Source organism: Homo sapiens, chromosome 8 (genome assembly GCF_000001405.40).
Source record: "Homo sapiens chromosome 8, GRCh38.p14 Primary Assembly".
Taxonomy (NCBI): domain Eukaryota; kingdom Metazoa; phylum Chordata; class Mammalia; order Primates; family Hominidae; genus Homo; species Homo sapiens.
This window is the reverse complement of record NC_000008.11, coordinates 73,327,364-73,344,798: the sequence shown is the minus strand read 5'-3', so window position 1 is coordinate 73,344,798 and position 17,435 is coordinate 73,327,364. Positions and strand designations below refer to the sequence as shown.

At 43.9% G+C, this 17,435-nt stretch overlaps 1 long non-coding RNA gene across 1 annotated transcript in view; it reads left to right on the top strand.

The window, feature by feature from the left end:
* The window catches only part of RDH10-AS1 (RDH10 antisense RNA 1), a 45,556-nt gene that overhangs the window by 11,663 nt on the left and 16,458 nt on the right, over positions 1 to 17,435 (top strand). The window contains exon 3 of the long non-coding RNA NR_125388.1: positions 3,501 to 3,635. This is a non-coding gene — a long non-coding RNA (RDH10 antisense RNA 1). The remainder of the gene's footprint in view (positions 1 to 3,500; positions 3,636 to 17,435) is intronic.

The following is a 17,435-nucleotide window of genomic DNA, read 5'->3' as shown; positions in this document are numbered from 1 at the left end:
CAGAGCTGCCTCCCAGTATGTGCTACGGAATCTACCAGGTTCCAGTGTGGCAAATTAGGGGTGCAGGTCTGCAGTGACTGGAAACTCAATTTTCCCACAGCTTCAAATCCAAGTTCCTCTACGAGGATTCACCTCTAATCTACCTACTTATCGATTTAAACTAGTGGATCATTCAGCCTGCTAGTCACTGCACTCCTCGTGTTATCTCTCAAGAATTACAGTGGCTCACGCCTGTAATCCCAGCATTTTGGGAGGCCAAGGTGGGTGGATCACTTTAGGCCAGGAGTTTGAGACCAGCCTGACCATCATGGTGAAACCCCATCTCTACTAAAAATACAAAAATTAGCCAAGCGTGGTGGCATTCACCTGTAGCCTCAGCTGTTTGGGAGGCTGAGGCATGAGAATCACTTGAACCCAGGAAGTGGAGGCCGCAGTGAGCCAACATCACGCCACTGCACTCCAGCCTGGGTGACAGAATGAGACTCCAACTCAAAAAAAAAAAAAAAAGAATTACCAATAAGAGGTTGCAGGCTGAGCTGGGGCAAATTGATGCCATCACCTGGGGTGGGGACTTCGGGGAAGCCTGAAAGCCTCAGGGAGGGAAAGGGAGGAGGTGATGCTCCAGCTCCTATACATGGCATTGGCCTCAAACTCCGACACAAATGCTTGCAGCCTCCAAATCTGTGCACATCTCCTTTGTACTCCTGTGACATGCTGCTCTTCCCTCATCTTCTCTTTGTAGAGGTACAAAGAATCCCACCCCATGTGATTGGGCCTTGGGAGGATCCTTTGGACAGGTTGGCAAGAGGGAAGCACAAATGCGCCTGTGCATGTGTGAGTAGGGACCCATCCATGGACTCTAAAGAAGCAAAGGAATATGTCCCTGTGTCTTCATATCTGTGATCAGCTGTGAGGGGACTCTTCTGTTGGATAAACTCAGGGCTGGGGGCTGGAGGGACTACTCCTCAAAGTTCCTCAAATATGGCTGCTATGCTCCTGCCTCAGGGCCTTTGCACTGGCGGTTTCCTTTGCTTAGAACACTCTCCCCCAGACTTCTCTGTGGCTCACACTGTCACCTCACGCAAGCCTTTGCTTTGAAATTACCTTTTCAGTGACACCCATTCCATCCCCTGACCCTGCTGTATTTCCCTCCAAGTCATGTAACATCTTCTATAATTGTCTTATTTCTTGTGTTTGCTGCCCTTCTCCATCTACTACAGCATAGTTCCCTGGGGACTTGATTTGTCACCACTGTACCCCCAGTGCCTGAGATGGTGCCTAACCATTTATCTCATAGTAGACTTTCATTAAATATTTGCTAGATGAACTAATAAGTGAATGAATGACTTGTAAGGTATCCATTAGCTTTAAGAAGCTGTAATTTTGGGTCATGAATCTGAGGGCTCAGGTCTGAGTTCCAGCTTTGTCACTTGAAAACCAGGTTACCTGAAGAAAGTTAGCTGAAAGTGTGGGAGTCTCAGTTTTCCCATCTGTGGAGTGGGGTTAATAATAGATCATATTTATTTTGCGTTTGCTGTGTTCCAGGCACTTACCAAGCGCATCGCCTGAGCTTAACTCAGTTGTAGTGAGGCAACCTGTTATTAGGTGTCTCCTGATGTGATTCAATATTCAGTACACACCATTACTTAGGAAGTATTCTTGCCAAAAATATTTAACCTGAACCTAAACAAGCCTTTTGTTAGTTTACAAGAAAACCAGAAACAGAGAAACATGTTAAAACAATGCTATGAAGGAAAAGCTGACAAATTCAGAATTTAGGACATTTTTCATGACAACTGTCCTAGCCACTGAACACACATTAGTTTCAGAAAAATAATTATAAAGGTGAAAGCTTGTTTTAGATTAAAACGATATAAAGATACATGTGATGCATAATGATTTGCTTGGAATGTTGTTAGAAAAAATCATCTGAGTAGGCAGAAACTAGAAACAATAATAATATAGATAACCAGCTGAATGGATCTATAAACATGTATATAATATAATGAAATATTATACAGCTATAAAGCAGAATGTACTATATGACATAAATGTATCTCAAAAACATAACATGAATTAAATAAACCAGACTCAAAAGAAGAAGAAACCCATCATTTGGACATGTCTGAATTGGAACTGGGATTTAGATGACAATAGGAAATTGTTAGCATTGTCAGGTGTGATGTAACATTATGATTATAAAATAAAACATCCAGGAGATTTATACTAAAGCACTTTGAGATAAAATGTCATGAGATAACCTGAGGTAAGGAGTTCGAGACCAGCCTGGTCAACATGGTGAAACCCCGTCTCTACTAAAAATACAAAAATTATCTGGGTATGGTGGCGCACGCCTACAGTCCCAGCTACTCGGGGGGGCTGAGGCAGGAGAATTGCTTGAACCTAAGAGGCCGAGGTTGCCGTGAGCCGAGATCGCACCATTGCACTCCAGCCTGGATGACGGAATGAGACTCCATCTAAAAAAAAAAAAAAAAAAAGTCATAATATCTGCCAATGATTGAAATAGTTCTATATGTAGATAGATAGATGATAGATAGATAGATAGATAGATAGATAGATAGATAGATAGATAGATAGACAGACCGATAGATCTAGTTAGAAGTAAATAAACCACTGTGACAAAAAGTTTGCCACTGTTGAATCTGGGTGGTGGATAAATGGATGTTCATTGTACTATGTTTTCAAGATTTTGCATATTTGGAAATATTCATAAGAAGGTGGGGAAAAAAATCCAGGGAGTTTCTGTGCCTGTGCACTGCAGGGATTATGGACAGGAACACCTGCCCTTGATGTCAGCTTGTCCCCAGGTGTCCCTCTTTCTCACATGCATGCCCCCTCAGCAGCTCCTGTGCCACTTCTGTAAGGTGCTGTGGGCACCACAAGTTGATTGTTTAAATCTCCTTGAGGGGAGCTTTGTGTGTGAAAGGAGAGATTCTATTTGTAGTTATTTTTCAAAAATTATATTCAATTTATTTAATACATTGAAAAGAACTCTCATTTTCTATAAGCTTTTCATGTCAACGGACAACTCTCATTATTTTATTTATAAATCTAATAAATTTTAACAATCACTTTTAAGGGGGCTTTTTACATCTTAGTTAATTAAATCCCCTTATATATTTTAAACTGGACTTATAAATTTAGTATATTTGAATTCATTTACAAACACTCAAAATCCCTAACGATCAGAACATTCCCAAACACTTAAACAATTCTAGTAAGTATAATAAATTAAACTTTAAAATACAGTGCATCTCAAGTTCTCATGAACATTCCAATATTGTTTACAAACCTAGTAAAATCACAAATCTAAACAATTACTCAATAACACTTTTAAAATTGGAATCATGAGGCTAATATATTAGATTATTTAATGCCACTCCTCTTAAACATTACAAACCCTCAAAATGCCTAATATAAACAGATTGTTGCTAAACCTAACAGAAAAGCATTAATACTCAATCTGAACCCTTCCCAAGGTCAACAGAGACTCATAGAGGAAACATTCAACAACTTGAACAGTAAGCAAGTTGCAGTTTCCGTCTCAGTGGACTGAGGTGATACAGCAGATTTTGCTGTGGACCAAGATCCAGTTTTCCTCATAACACTCACAGGCAAGTTGAACAATCATAACGGAACTCCTTGCCTGCAGAGAGGGGCTGGAGTCTCTAGAGTTCACGTGATTCTATTGCCTAAGTCTCCCACCCGGTTTGAGTTTCTAACTCCTTATATCTAGGTTGCTTTGCATTATTTATTGCCTGATTCTGTTCAGAATTCCCTGCAAGTGTATCCCATCCCCATATATCCTTCCTGTCTAATGGGACGACAACTCTCAGCTATTTAATGACACCCAGTTGGATTCTGCACTTCTCTAGTGGCTTTGTCTAGCTCCACACTCAGAACACAAATCATGCTGGAGAACTGACTGGGGGCCCAGGAGCTGTTTACCGCCTCTGTGTCCTCTAAGGCAGCAGGTAGCCCAAACAGTGTCCCTGGGAGAGGGGTATGGGTCTCTTCTATGCTCAAATTCCAAATAATTGCCTTGGTTATTGCCACTTCCCCAGGGCTCTGCACAGGGCAAGGGCAGGGGCAGGGGTTCTTTATTTAGAGACCACAAAATCCATAGTTTTTTTTGACTACTCCTCTCTGAGTTTCTTCTCTTCATCTGCTAGCCCTGTGTGTATTTGAATATTTTCACAGTGTCAGGGGTGAGTGGGATCACTTCATCTTCCTTAAACCCCCTGAACCCAAGAAATTTGTCTGTGTGTCCCCTTTCTCTAAGGAGTCAAGTTCTCAGGATTTAGAAAGCAAACACCAGGAAGAGATTCGTTTCTCTTTCTTTCCTTCCTTTCTTCATCTCTTCCTTTATTTTCTCTCTCTTTCTTCCTCTCCTTCCTTTCTTCATCTCTTCCTTTATTTTCTTTCTCTCTCTTTCTTCCTCTCCTTCCTTCCTTCCTTGTCTTCTCTTACTTCCTCTCTCTCTCTCTTCTTCCTCTTTCTCTCTCTTCTTCCTCTCCCTTCCTTTTCCCTTCTTTTTATCTTTTTACTTCTAGAAAACTATGAAGTATTTCAAGCATGCAAGAAAGAATAAAGGATAATATAAAGAAAACCCAATTATCCATCACCCAGTCTGTTTGAGCTTAGCATTTTGCCATATTTGCTTTTGCTATATATACTTTAAAAAGGAAACACAAAGCATTATACGGCGGAAGCCCTGTATACTTGTCTCTCATCTGATCTTATTCTTTTTCCTCTAAGGAGATAAGCACTACCTGAAACTTGGTGCTTAGCATTTTGGGTATGCTTTTCTACTCTTATTTAATATGTGCATCCATAAATCAACATAAAATAGTTTTGCATCTTTTTTTTTTTTTTGAGACAGTCTTGCTGTGTCGCCCGGGCTGGAGTGCAGTGGTGCCATCTTGGCTCACTGCAACCTCTGCCTCCTGGCTTCAAGCAATTCTCGTGCCTCAGTCTCCCAAGTAGCTGGAATTACAGGCAGGTGCCACCACGCCCTATTAATTTTTATTTATTTATTTTTATTTTATTTTTTTGAGACGGAGTTTCGCTCTTGTTGCCCAGGCTGGCGTGCAATGGCGCAATCTTGGCTCATTGCAACCTCTGCCTCCCGGGTTCAAGCGATTCTCCTGCCTCAGCCTCCAGAGTAGCTGGGATTACAGGCATGTGCCACCATGCCCAGCTAATTTTGTATTTTTAGTAGAGACAGGGTTTCTCCATGTTGGTCAGGCTGGTCTCAAATTCCCGACCTCAGGTGATCCGCCTGCCTTGGTCTCCCAAAGTGCTGGGATTACAGGCATGAGCCACTGTACCTGGCCAGTTTTGCATCTTTTAAACTGTAAATACATGGCATTGTATAATGTGTCCTTCTGCAGTTTACTTTTTGTATCCAATAATAGGTTTTGTAAAACAACAACAGTACCTTTTTTTTTTTTTTTTTTTTTTTGAGACAGAGTCTCGCTCTTTCTCCCAGGCCGGATTGCAGTGGCGCCATCTCGGCTAGCTGCAAGCTCCACCTCCTGGGTTCACGCCATTCTCCTGCTTCAGCCTCCCGAGTAGCTGGGACTACAGGCGCCCGCCACCGCGCCCAGCTGATTTTTTGTATTTTTAGTAGAGAAGGGGTTTCACCATGTTAGCCAGGATGGTCTCAATCTCCTGACCTCGTGATCTGCCCGTTTCGGCCTCCCAAAGTGCTGGGATTACAGGCGTGAGACACTGCGCCCGGCACAACAGTACCTTTTGAGGTGTATCCATGTTGGTGCATATAACAATAATTCAATCCTTTTTTCATTGTTTCGTAACAATTAATTGAATGAACATATCACAATGTATTCATTCTCCTGTTAATAGACATTTAGGTTGTTTCAATTTATTTATGCAAAGATGCTACAATGACATTCTTGCTGACATCTCCTGTGCCCACGTGTGAGGATTTCTCTAGGCTTTCCCTCTAGGGGTGTGCTGTTGGATAATTCAGCATGTGCTGTCTTCAGTTTTGTTGGGTGTCAGAGGTTATATGCTCTCTCCAGCAATTATGAGAGTTCCTGTTGCTCTGCACCCCGGACGACTATTTGTATTGCTGGGGTTCACTTTTGCAATCTGATAGCCATGAAACGGTATCTCTTTGTGTTTGTTTTTAATTTTTTAAATTTATTTTTTCTTCAAACAATTTTTTTTTCTTTGTAGTGACAAGGTCTCACTATATTGTCTAGGCTGGTCTTGAACTCCTGGCCTCAAGTGATCCTCTTGCCTCGGCTTCCCATACTTTTGTGATTACAGGCATGAGCCCCTGCACCCAGCCTCTTTTGTGGTTTTAAACTGCATTCCCCTGATTACTCCAATTTCTAATGAGGGTGAACATTTGTTTATTGATCCTTTACTGCAGTTTTCTAGTCTGTGGCCTCTCACCCAGCTGTTTTAAAGAGATGGGGGATGTGAAACAGGTTTGGGAAAGAACTAATAGTTTCAGCAACCATACCAAGAAAGAATAATTAGTTTTGTTATTCCATAAATATGCAGTGGTTGGCTATAAGTGCAAGAGAATCAATGTGCCATTGCTGTCATATTTCCTTGTCTACCAATCTTACTTTATCAATTCAGCACGGCCTTCACCAGCAAAGTCTCATTCCCCAATTTGTTCCTAACCAACTCCAGTGCCAAAGGTGAGGTTCAGTTGCCTAGGATTGGCTATCCTTGGCCCCAAAGGCTTGCTACCTGCCTGGAAAAGTCTTTATCTCCAGCTAGTGTGCTTTGTTGGTGTTCTAATACTAACTTGGAGTTACTTTCCTGGGATGAGCACAGCAAATCTAGACATTCTGCCTCTAGATTCATGATGACTTCCTCCCTTCTCTAAAAGCCAGGGTTCTAAATGTTAGAATCTCTATATTTCACATGAAAACTCAAAGACTTTCATGAAACTCTAAAATAGTGAACAGCATCATCTGTTTATACTTACTGACTTTATGGCTATCTTCTTCCCACCCCAATCAGGGCCATTTTTTCCCCAAAAAGAAAGTGGTATTAGAGGCTGGGCCTGGTGGCTCACGCCTGTAATCCCAGCACTCTGGGAGGCCGAGATGGGTGGATCACCTGAGGTCAGGAGTTTGAGATCATCCTGGCCAACATGGTGAAATCCCATCTCTACTAAAAATACAAAAATCAGCCGAGCATGGTGGCGCATGCTTGTAATCCTAGCTACTTGGAAGGCTGAGGCTGGAGGATCGCTTAAACCTGGGAGGCAGAGGTTGCAGTGAGCCAAGACGGCACCACTGCCCTCCAGCTTGGACGACATAGTGAGACTCCATCTCAAAAAAAAAAAAAAAAAAAAAAGGAAAAAAAAGGTAGTATTAGAGTTTGTATCTCTGCTCTTTTACCTTAATTTATAAAGCACACTGATGTTGCATGGGTGAAGGAATATGGCTGGCATCCAGTCTCCCCACTTGGCCCAGGGACTCCCTAGAGTATGGCAGCCTCTTGGCTTACGGAATTCAAATTGGACCTCAGCAATTTTAAATGATGGCATATCATAGAACTCTGGGGTATTACATGCATATTCTTAGACACGAATGCTAAAACTTGAATGTTGAAAGTTTATTAAATATGTTCATTCATTCTGCCTTTAAGAAAATGCTCTATTGGAATATAATTTACATACTATACAATTTACCCATTTAAGAAGTGTGATTCAATGATTTTTAGTATAGTCACATATACATGCAACCATCACCACAGTCAATTTCAGAACAATTTTATCACCCCAAAGAGGAACCCCATACCCTTTAGCTGTCACACTCCCATCTTCCCACATCTGGTCCTGCATAACCACTGATCTTTCTGTCTCTATAGGTTTTGCCTATTCTGAACATTTCATATAAATGGAATTGTATATAATATAAGGTCTTTTTTGTCTGGCTTCTTTTATTAAGCATAATGTTTTCAAGGCTCATTCATGCTATAACAGGTATAGTACTTCATTCCTTTTTATGGCCGAATAATATCCCATTATATGGATGTACCACATTTTCTTTATCTCTTCATACACTGACAGACATTTGGATTGTTTCCACCTTTTAACTATTGTGAATAGTGCTGCTACAAACATTTGTTTACAAACTTTTATTTGAATATGTATTTTTAATTCTTTTGGGTATATAGCTAGGAGTGGAATTGCTGGATCATTTGATAATTCTGTGTTTAACTTTTTGAGGCACCACCAAACAGATTTCCACAGCAGATACACCATTTTACATTCCCATCACCAATGAACAAGTGTTCAAATTTCTCCACATCCTTGCCAACACCTATTTTCTGTTTTTCAAAAAATATTATTATAACCACCTTAGTGGGTGTGAAGTGGTATCTCATTGTGGTTTTGATTTGTATTTTTCTAATGACTAATGATGTTGAGTGTCTTTTCAAGTGCTTTTTAGCCATTTATATATCTCCTTTGGAGAAATATATATTCAAGTCTTCTGCCAACCTTCTAATTGGGCGTTTGAATTTTTGTTGTTGAGTGGCATGCATTCTTCAGTTAACATTTTCTGAGCACAAATTGTGTGCCAGGCATGGGGCTGTGGCACTTGGGAGGAGGAATGCAAAGATGAATAAGGTACAGCCCCTGTCTCGCAGCTGCCTTCAGCTGTCATGTGCACAGTGAGTGAGTCTAGCAAGGGACCCTGCATGCCGAGAGTTCAGTGGAGGGAAAGAGATGACACTTCCACCTGGCCAATTCTGGGACTCTGTGGAAGGAGTAAGGCCTGAGCTAGGCCCAGGGAAATGGGAGCTGAGTGAACTTGGGAGCCAATGTTGGAGTTGGGAAAGCAGTAGGAATGCATGGCCAGAGCCCAGGGATCCCCAGGGAGACAGTGAATCCAAGAGGATGTCAAGTGTAGAGGTGGAGGAAGGCACATGGGTAGAGGAAAATGCATAAATGAGATGATACACAGTTAAAAATTGACAGGGAGGCCAGGTGCGGTGGCTCACGCCTGTAATCCCAGCACTTTGGGAGGGCGAGGTGGGCGGATCACCTGAGGTCAGGAGTTCGAGACCAGCCTGGCCAACATGGTGAAACTGTGACTCTACTAAAAAATAGCTGGGCATGGTGATACACTCCTGTAATCCCAGCTACTCTGGAGGCTGAAGCAGGAGGATCACTTGAACCTGGGAGGTGGAGGTTGCAGTGAGCTGAGGTCGTGTCGCTGCACTCCATCCTGGGTGACAGAGCGAGACTCTGTCTAAAAAAAAAAAAAAAAATGGACAGGGAGCTGGGTGCAGCTGTAGCCTGTAGCTCCAGCTACTCAGGAGGCTGAGGTGAGCAGATTGCTTGAGAACAGGAGTTTGAGGCTGCAGTGTGCACTGTGGTGGGGCCTATGAATGACCACTGCACTCCAGCCTGGGCAAAAAAGGGAGACCCTGTTTGTAAATAAATAAATAAATAAAAGACAAGGTAAAGCTACCAAAAAGAAAGAAAATGAACGGAAAGTTTTGCCTGATGACTGTAAGTGCCTGGATCATGAATAACAAAGTGCCAAGAATTGCCTGTAGATGTAGCAACAGGTGGGTTGTACTGACGTGTGGTTGGGCTGTTATAGTCAAGGATACGAGTATGCCCAAGAAAACGTGGCCCAAATACCTTGGAGCCCAGAGGTGTTCTGTTTCTTACTAGGGAGTGTCTGCATTAACAGCTGGGCTGGTTTGGAAGGCCTAGAATTGTTGGTGTGGCCTCACTCCCTGTCCCCAGGATCTCTGCTCAGCTTCTCTGGAGCCACAGCTGGCTCTGCTGGCTGCCTTTGCACTGTTGGTTCCCCAGCAGTGCCTCAGCCTCACCGCTCCTTGTCAAATCTCAGGTCATCTACACATCTTCACCTACAGAGGTGAAGAACCAGAAGACTTGTGAGAAAAGTCAGCCTGGCTTCATTACTTTCCACCCTAGGCCAGTCAGAGAGCTAATTTCCAACTGGGTAAACTCCTTCCTTATCTTGGCAGGAAGACAGGTGTGAAGGACAGTAGCTCATGTGCCCTGAATACCTACTGGGTACCAACCACTCCAAGGGGAGGAAGGAAAGCAAGATTCCACCCTAACTCCAAGAGGCAACCCAGTCCAGCCAGGATCAAACACACCAGGAAGCATAAAAGCTGCATTCCCAGGGTTGCTCAGCGCGGAGTTGTTTCAGTGGGCAGGTCTATGCAAACCTACCTCAAACTCTGAGGAAACTGAGAGGCTCAAGAAAGAGGCTGACATATCCATTTCTCAGAAGGAAACCTTTAATAAGGACTTAGAAACAGAAACCATGACTGTGACAAGATGGTGGATCTGCTGAGCATTACCTCTCAAACTCAAAACCTATATACCATAGAAAAAGAAGCTGAAGCTGACACCTCAGGGAAAAGCAAGAATGCTATGGGAATCTGCCCAAGGGCAGGATTTATGGTTGAGGTTGTTTTGACCTAAGGGCAGGATTTACAGTAAGTACGTGCTCTTACACAAGGAACCCTAGACACAATAGAAACCTTAGAGGCATTCCTGGAACTGGGGTTAATTAGAAGTCAACATGGCGGATCAGCATCCAAGATGCAGTTACTTTAGCCTCTACACGAGTGCCCCTCAGCACTGAGGGGTGTTCACAGTGCGACTGGGAACAGTCTTTGGCCATGGAGTGCTTGTCTTCTCTTTTTTTGAGACAGAGTCTCACTCTGTCGCCCAGGCTGGAATGCAATGGTGCGATCTTGGCTCTTTGCGAACTCCGCCTCCCAGGTTCAAATGATTCTCCTACCTCAGCTTCCAAGAAGCTGGGATTACAGGTGTGCACCACCAGGCCTGGCTAATTTTTGTATTTTTAGTAGAGATAGGGTTTCACCATGTTGGCCAGGTTGGTCTCGAACTCCTGACCTCAGGTGACCCACCCACCTGGGCTTCCCAAAGTGCTGGGATTACAGGCGTGAGCCACTGCGCCTGGCCCATGGAGTGCTTTTCTAGCAGCATCTCGTGAGACCAATGCTCCAAGTGACACACTTGGGAAATTGTATCTTATGGCATCTTGTACATGCTTGACCTTATTTCTGGGTGTGTTACCAGTGGAAGGTATCTGAGTTACCAGCAGTGAATCTGTACAGGTCTGTGGCAACCTCAATTCTTAGCTCCTCAGAAGAAAGAATTCGACTGAGGGGATAAGGCAGAAAAGGAGACTGAGGCAAGTTTCAGAGCAGGAGTGAAAGTTTATTTAAAATGGATTTAGAACAAGAAACAAAGGAAAATACACTCGGAAGAGACCCAAGTGGGACACAGAGGTCAAGTGCGATATTTAACCTTGATCCTAGGACTTTATAGGCTGGCTCCTTTCCCATGCTTCTTCCCTTTGTGTGGGCTGCCCACATGTGCAGTGCCCTCCTTACCCTTGGAAAGTGAGCATGCACAGTGTGTTTAGGAAGTTGCACGCATGCCCATCTGAGACTTTCTTCCCGTTTCCAGTGGAGTGCCCTAGAAGGTCATGCTCTGCCATTTTGTCCCTTAATGCACATGCCCAGGAAGTTGCTTCTCCCTGGCAGCTGCATTCAGTTAAGACTTTAGTGCAATAGGTGTGGACCATCAGGGAATGACCTCTCCCTAGCCCTGGCTGCCAGTTTATCACTTTTAGAGAGGCAAAACAATAATTCCAAAACCGTCACTCGCCATTCCTAGTGGGTGGGGGAAGGTCCTCTCCTGTTCTGCTCATGCCTGTCTAACTACCTGTAACAGGTGCAACCTAGGAGTGGTCAGGGGAGCTGGAGAAACCATGGAAGCCAGGAAAGACATTGCTACATGGCTTAGAATATACACATCGCAAAAGTCTTTGTACTGTTCATAGAGAAATTATTTCATCTAAATATTTTGGCCTTTGGTGCCCTGAGAACAGGGGACTTCTGTATCCTGGCCCCCTTTGGGTTTTCAGTCCCCAGCATGTGGCATCAGCTAATAGTGTTTGTTCTGTGATCTGTCCTGTCTTGTCATAGAGAAGCATGACATAGGGTTGAGAGACCATCTGCTGCAGCTACTTACAGATGGAAAGCTGTCTTCTCAATAGTGGCTCCAAAGGCCAGGTCATTCTAGTCTTTTCTTAAAAAAAGAAAAACTGCAGTAAAATACACATAACATAAAACATACCATCTGGATCATTTTAAAGTGTAGAGTTCAGCAGAGTTAAGTATATTCACACTGTTGTGCAACCAATCTCCAGAATTTTTTTTCATCTTGCAAAGCTGAAACTTTGTACCCATTAAACGATAACTCCCCATTCCCGCTTTCCCACCAGTTCTTGGCAACAACCATTCTACTTTCTGTGTCTATGATTTTGACTACTCCAAGTACTTCATATAAGTGGAATCTCATGATACTCACCCTTTTATGACTGGTTTATTTCACTCAGTATAATCTCCTCAAGGTGCATCCTTGTTGTGGTATGTGTAGGAATGTCCTTCTTTTTTAAGGGTGAATAATATTTCACAGTAAGTATATGACACATCTTCTTTAAGCCATTCATGCACCAATGGATCTATGTGGTGGTTCCATCTTTTTGTTACTGTGAATAGTGTTGCTATAAATATGGGTGTTTGAATGATCTCTTCAAGACTCTGCTTGTAATCCCTTGGATATATACACAGACATAGAATTGCTAAATCATATGGCACTTCCAAGGTTTAATTTTTTGAGGAACTGCCATACTATTTTTTATAGTGGCGGCACCATCTTACATTCCCTCCAAAAGTACAGAGGGGTTCTAGTCTTTTAAATAGCTCTTCTAAGAGCAGAGTGTGTTCTCTAAATAGGTTTCACTTGAAGTTGGAAATATAGACCATTTTCTTCTCTGAGTCTCTTACAACTTTCTGCTTCCCAAAATTCCCAGTATGTCAATAATTTTGATGGCAAATGGATCTAATTTTAGGGGCCTGATACGATGAGAAAACACTAGAAACCCCAAGGCTGATAAAGAAATCAACTTCAGCCTGCAAGCCTCCACTGCCAGGGAGAGCAAAGCAAACTGGTCTGGTGAACCCTGCAATTTTGTGCATTTTTCTCTCTAGTCCACCAGAACCTCTCCTTTTCCTTTTAAGCTGACATTTAACTGATCTCTGAAGTTACTTAAATTCTTATTCTCATACATAAAATACTTCTTCCCTTCTAAGATAAATCATTTCAAACTGACATTTCCTCATGAAGAATAAGCCAGAAGCACCCACATTGCACAAATTTCTTATTCGTGGCTCACTGAGCTAAAATCTTGAGGTGCAAGTGAAACTCATTCCCAAAAGCCCAGTCCCGGAGAGGGAAATCTGGCGGATCCCTCTTCACCAGAATGTTCTCAGTTCCCTATGGCCTCTGTAGCAGGTAAGGAGAAATGGTTCCTGGGCTTTCAGCTGGCTGTGGGAAGGTCTTCAGGGACAGACTCCAGGCGGTGGTGGAGCAGGAAGTTGGAGCAGCTGGAGGAACTGTGGTTAGGGAATCTCCCCCGGGGCTGCAGTTTTGCTCCATCTACTTCCTTCCCTGACAGCAGTATTCATTTCTTCACTCCCTGGCCAGGTTCTGCATTTCCCGGCTCTCAGTCCTCAAGGGCCTCCGCTTCAGGAGCACTCAGGGCAGTGGATTGGGCTCCCAGAGTGGTCATGAGAAAAGCATCTCAGGTCCACTTCTGGGGGTGTTTCAAAGACCCCCTCAGCATACTGCAGTGAGTCCCAGGAAATCTGACAATGCCAAACCATCGCCAAAGTCAGAGAAAAGGGTAGAAAATAAAGGTGGCTTCTGGAGAACAGAGAACACTGTTTATTCTTTTTTTTTTTTTTTTTTCCCTGAAAGGATAAGCTTTCCATTGTCACTGCAAGCCAGAAGAAAATGGTGTTTATAGGGGTCAGATGGAAGTTCTCTCTGTTTGCATCTGTCTCAATGTTTGTCCTATTCAGAACCTGGCTAACTTGTTTTACTCTCTGAACTATCCAAGACTGGCCAGATATTCTGAGGGCTTGGGAGGACTCTCCTTGTTTAATTTTGGTAGAAGCAACATCTGTGCGGTTGCCTTACAAACTTTTCTGGCCTTCGGTAACCTCTTGCATACAGGTGACGTTGATCAGAGCAAAGGCTCAAAGAGCACATAAGTAGTAAACTCCTATGTCCTCACAGTTCGTTTAGGAGCAACAGGGCAGGGAAAAAAAATTCTCTGGTGCACAGACTTGGGAAAGCCCCATGCTTGGGTATTCCTATTTCACAGACCACCAAGTATTTGAAGAGCACAAAGGGCCATGAAGATCAACATTTATTGAGCATCTACTGTGTGCTTGGGTCTACGTGAGATGTTGGAACTAAGACTACCGAGATCACTAGAACAGGACACTTGTCTTCAGATGTACCAATAACTAATTGCAACACACTAGGTACTTGCAGTAGAGTGAAGACTATATTTGGTCTTTGTCCCTAGCTTCTGGCACAGAGCTCCTAAAACCCTTGGAATTTCCACAGTGACACGAGTGTCTCTTGTTATTCATAACCGGCCTCTTTACATCCTACTTGAGTCTATGCTAATGATGTGGACAGGGTGGGCCCTTAGAGAGTTTCAAGGGAGGAGTTGAAGTTTCAAACCCCGTCACTTCTGGGGAGAGAAAAAGGGGTGGAGACTGAATTGATTCACCTGTGGCCGATGGTTTGGTCAATCATGTCCACATAATAAAACTTAAGTAAAAACTCTTTAATGAGGAGATTTGGAGAACTTCTGGGTTGGTGAACATATGGAGGTGCTGGGAGGGTGGCTCCTGGGGAGGGCATGGGAAGCCCGCGCCCTTCCCACAGGGCTTGCTCTGTGCATCCCTTCCATCTGGCTGTGCCTGTGCAGCCCTTCTAATAAACGGTAATCAAGGACTGCATAGTGTTTTCCTGAGTTCTGGATCATTCTAGTGAATTATCAAACCTGAGCAGGGGTCTTGTGAACCCTGAATTTGTAGTCAGCTGGGCAGAAGCATGGGTAGCCTGGGGACCCCATTTGCGATTCTCTGGCCGGTATCTGAAGTGGAGGCAGTCTTGTGGGATCAAAACCTTAACCTGTGGGGCCTGCACTAACTCTGGGAAGTGTCAGAATTGGACCGAACTGTAGGACATCCAGTGGGTGTCAGGAAGTAAGAATTGTTGGAAACACAAAACAGTACCATAAATAGAGATTCTGATCTAGGTACTGTCACTATCCATCCCCCATCATCACTGTTATGTTGAACGAGATAAAAGTGCCTTTTTTGTAGGTCAAAAGAATTCAGTCACAGCAATTTCATATGATTCAACCTAATGCAATCTATTGCACACCTCCAAGGTGTGGTAGGCACAGTCCTAAGTGCTTATCTGTGTCCTCCCACATTCCTCACGATGCTCTTGATATAGGTACTGCAGTTATTCCCAGTGTACCCATGAGGAGATTGAGACTTACGAAGGTTAAGAAAAAGACCTGGGATCCATGGCTAGGGAGATGCAGAGCTGGACTTGCACTCAGGCTGTCTGACAACAGACCCTGAGTGTATTCATTTGCTAGGGCTGCTGTACCAAAGCATCACCAACTGGGTGATACTTAAAATAACAGAAATCTATGCTTTCACAGTTCTAGAGGCTATGCATCTGAAATCCAGGTGTCAGCAGGCTTGGTTCCTTTTTGGAGGCACTGAGGGAGGGCCTGCTCCATGCCTCTTTTCTAGCTGTTGGTCCTTGATACAATTCCTTGGCATTCCACGGCTTGCAGCTACGTCAGTCCGATCTCTGCCTATTGTTACATGGCATCTTCTCTCTGTGTGTGTCTGTGTCTCTTTGTATAAGAACACCAGTGATGGGATTTATGGCTTATTCTAATCCAAAATTACCTCATCTTTCTTCGTTGTTGAGACAGGGCCTCCCTCTGTCGCCCATGCTGGAGTGCAGTGGCACGATCACGACTCACTGCAACCTCAAACTCCTGGGCTTAAGCGATTCTTCGGACTACAGGTGTGCACCACCACACCCAGCTGATTTTCTCATTTGTTGTAGACATGGGGTCTCACTATGTCATCCAGGCTGGTCTTGAACTCCTGGACTCAAGTGATCCTCCCACCTCAGCCTCCCAAAGTGCTGGGATTACAGGCATGAGCCACTGAGCCTGACCAAAATGATCTCATCTTGATTACATCTGCAAAGACCCTATTTCCAAGTAAGGACACATTTGCAGGGACTAGGGGTCAGGATTTCAACACATCTCTTGAGGGGACATGATCCAATCCACAACACTGAGCTCTTAAGCAGGAACTCTGTGGCTGCCGGATACTGTGCTGTCAACATACGTAAGTATGCCTGTGTCCAGGCAGGACTCCCATCTGCTCATTAGCCTCCTGGACCACTCAGGCCCTGGATAAGCTGGGCTGGCCGGGAGATGGCCACCTGCTAGCAGAGGGCTGGAGGAGCTGGGCTCAGGTTCCTCCCTAGGGGGAGGGGATGCCTGCTGAGTGGCATTCAGGTGGACCACCCATGAGGTATGGACAAGGAGAGGGGCATTCTTCATGGCTGCTATGCACACACGTTTCTCCCTGCAGCATGGTTTCAATCACCTTGACAGGAAAACCTCAAACTTAGAATCTGGGCTGAAGATGCTTTGTTTTTCTTGCTAATCAATTCTCTTGCGTTTTGCTAGTGGTAGAAATGTTTCAACAGTCACAGCTCAAAAGCCTGTGAGGAGCTCCTGGAAGACATTAAGTTCTCTACAGCAACGGAGCACGTTAAATGAGAAATAATTACTCAATGAGCAGGATTCTCTGGACTGTGTGGCTGTGTGTTGTCAATGCTTTCCCCCAAATAATAGATGAGTTGTGAAATGTGTAGGTGCTTTGGTATAGCTATTGTAATGTAGGAACTGCAATCCCCAGAAAGCGTCATAATAAACAGTAGCAAGACTGTGGTTCCACACTGCTCTGCCGTGACATTTCCTGGGAAAGCTGGGAGTCACTGCATGTCCACCTTGACCCAGGACCTGCCTGAGAGGTTCTTGGCCCGCTGTGAGTTTAGTGCTTCAAGGACCAGATAGGAACCCGTCTTTTTGAGCACCCTGATAGAAGCAGGTCCTGTCTCATCTTTTTGGCACATAAAAATAGTTCATTTGCACTAACATGTATCCATTTGGTGATACTCAAAGTGCATTTTGTTTTTCCCCAGGGTTCTGATGAAACATTGCTTGCACATCTAAGCAAGTCATGCTTCTGAGGCCAAGCAAAGAAAATTGCCAAAGAACAACAGTTTCCAGGATTCACTCAGGAAGAAATTTTCCTTTGGTCCTTTTAACAATGGATTCAGTTACTAGAAACCCGAGTGCATGGTCGAAGCCTCCATGTGCTGTCTGTTAACACTGCCCTTCACCTTTTGGGCCTCTGCCCCA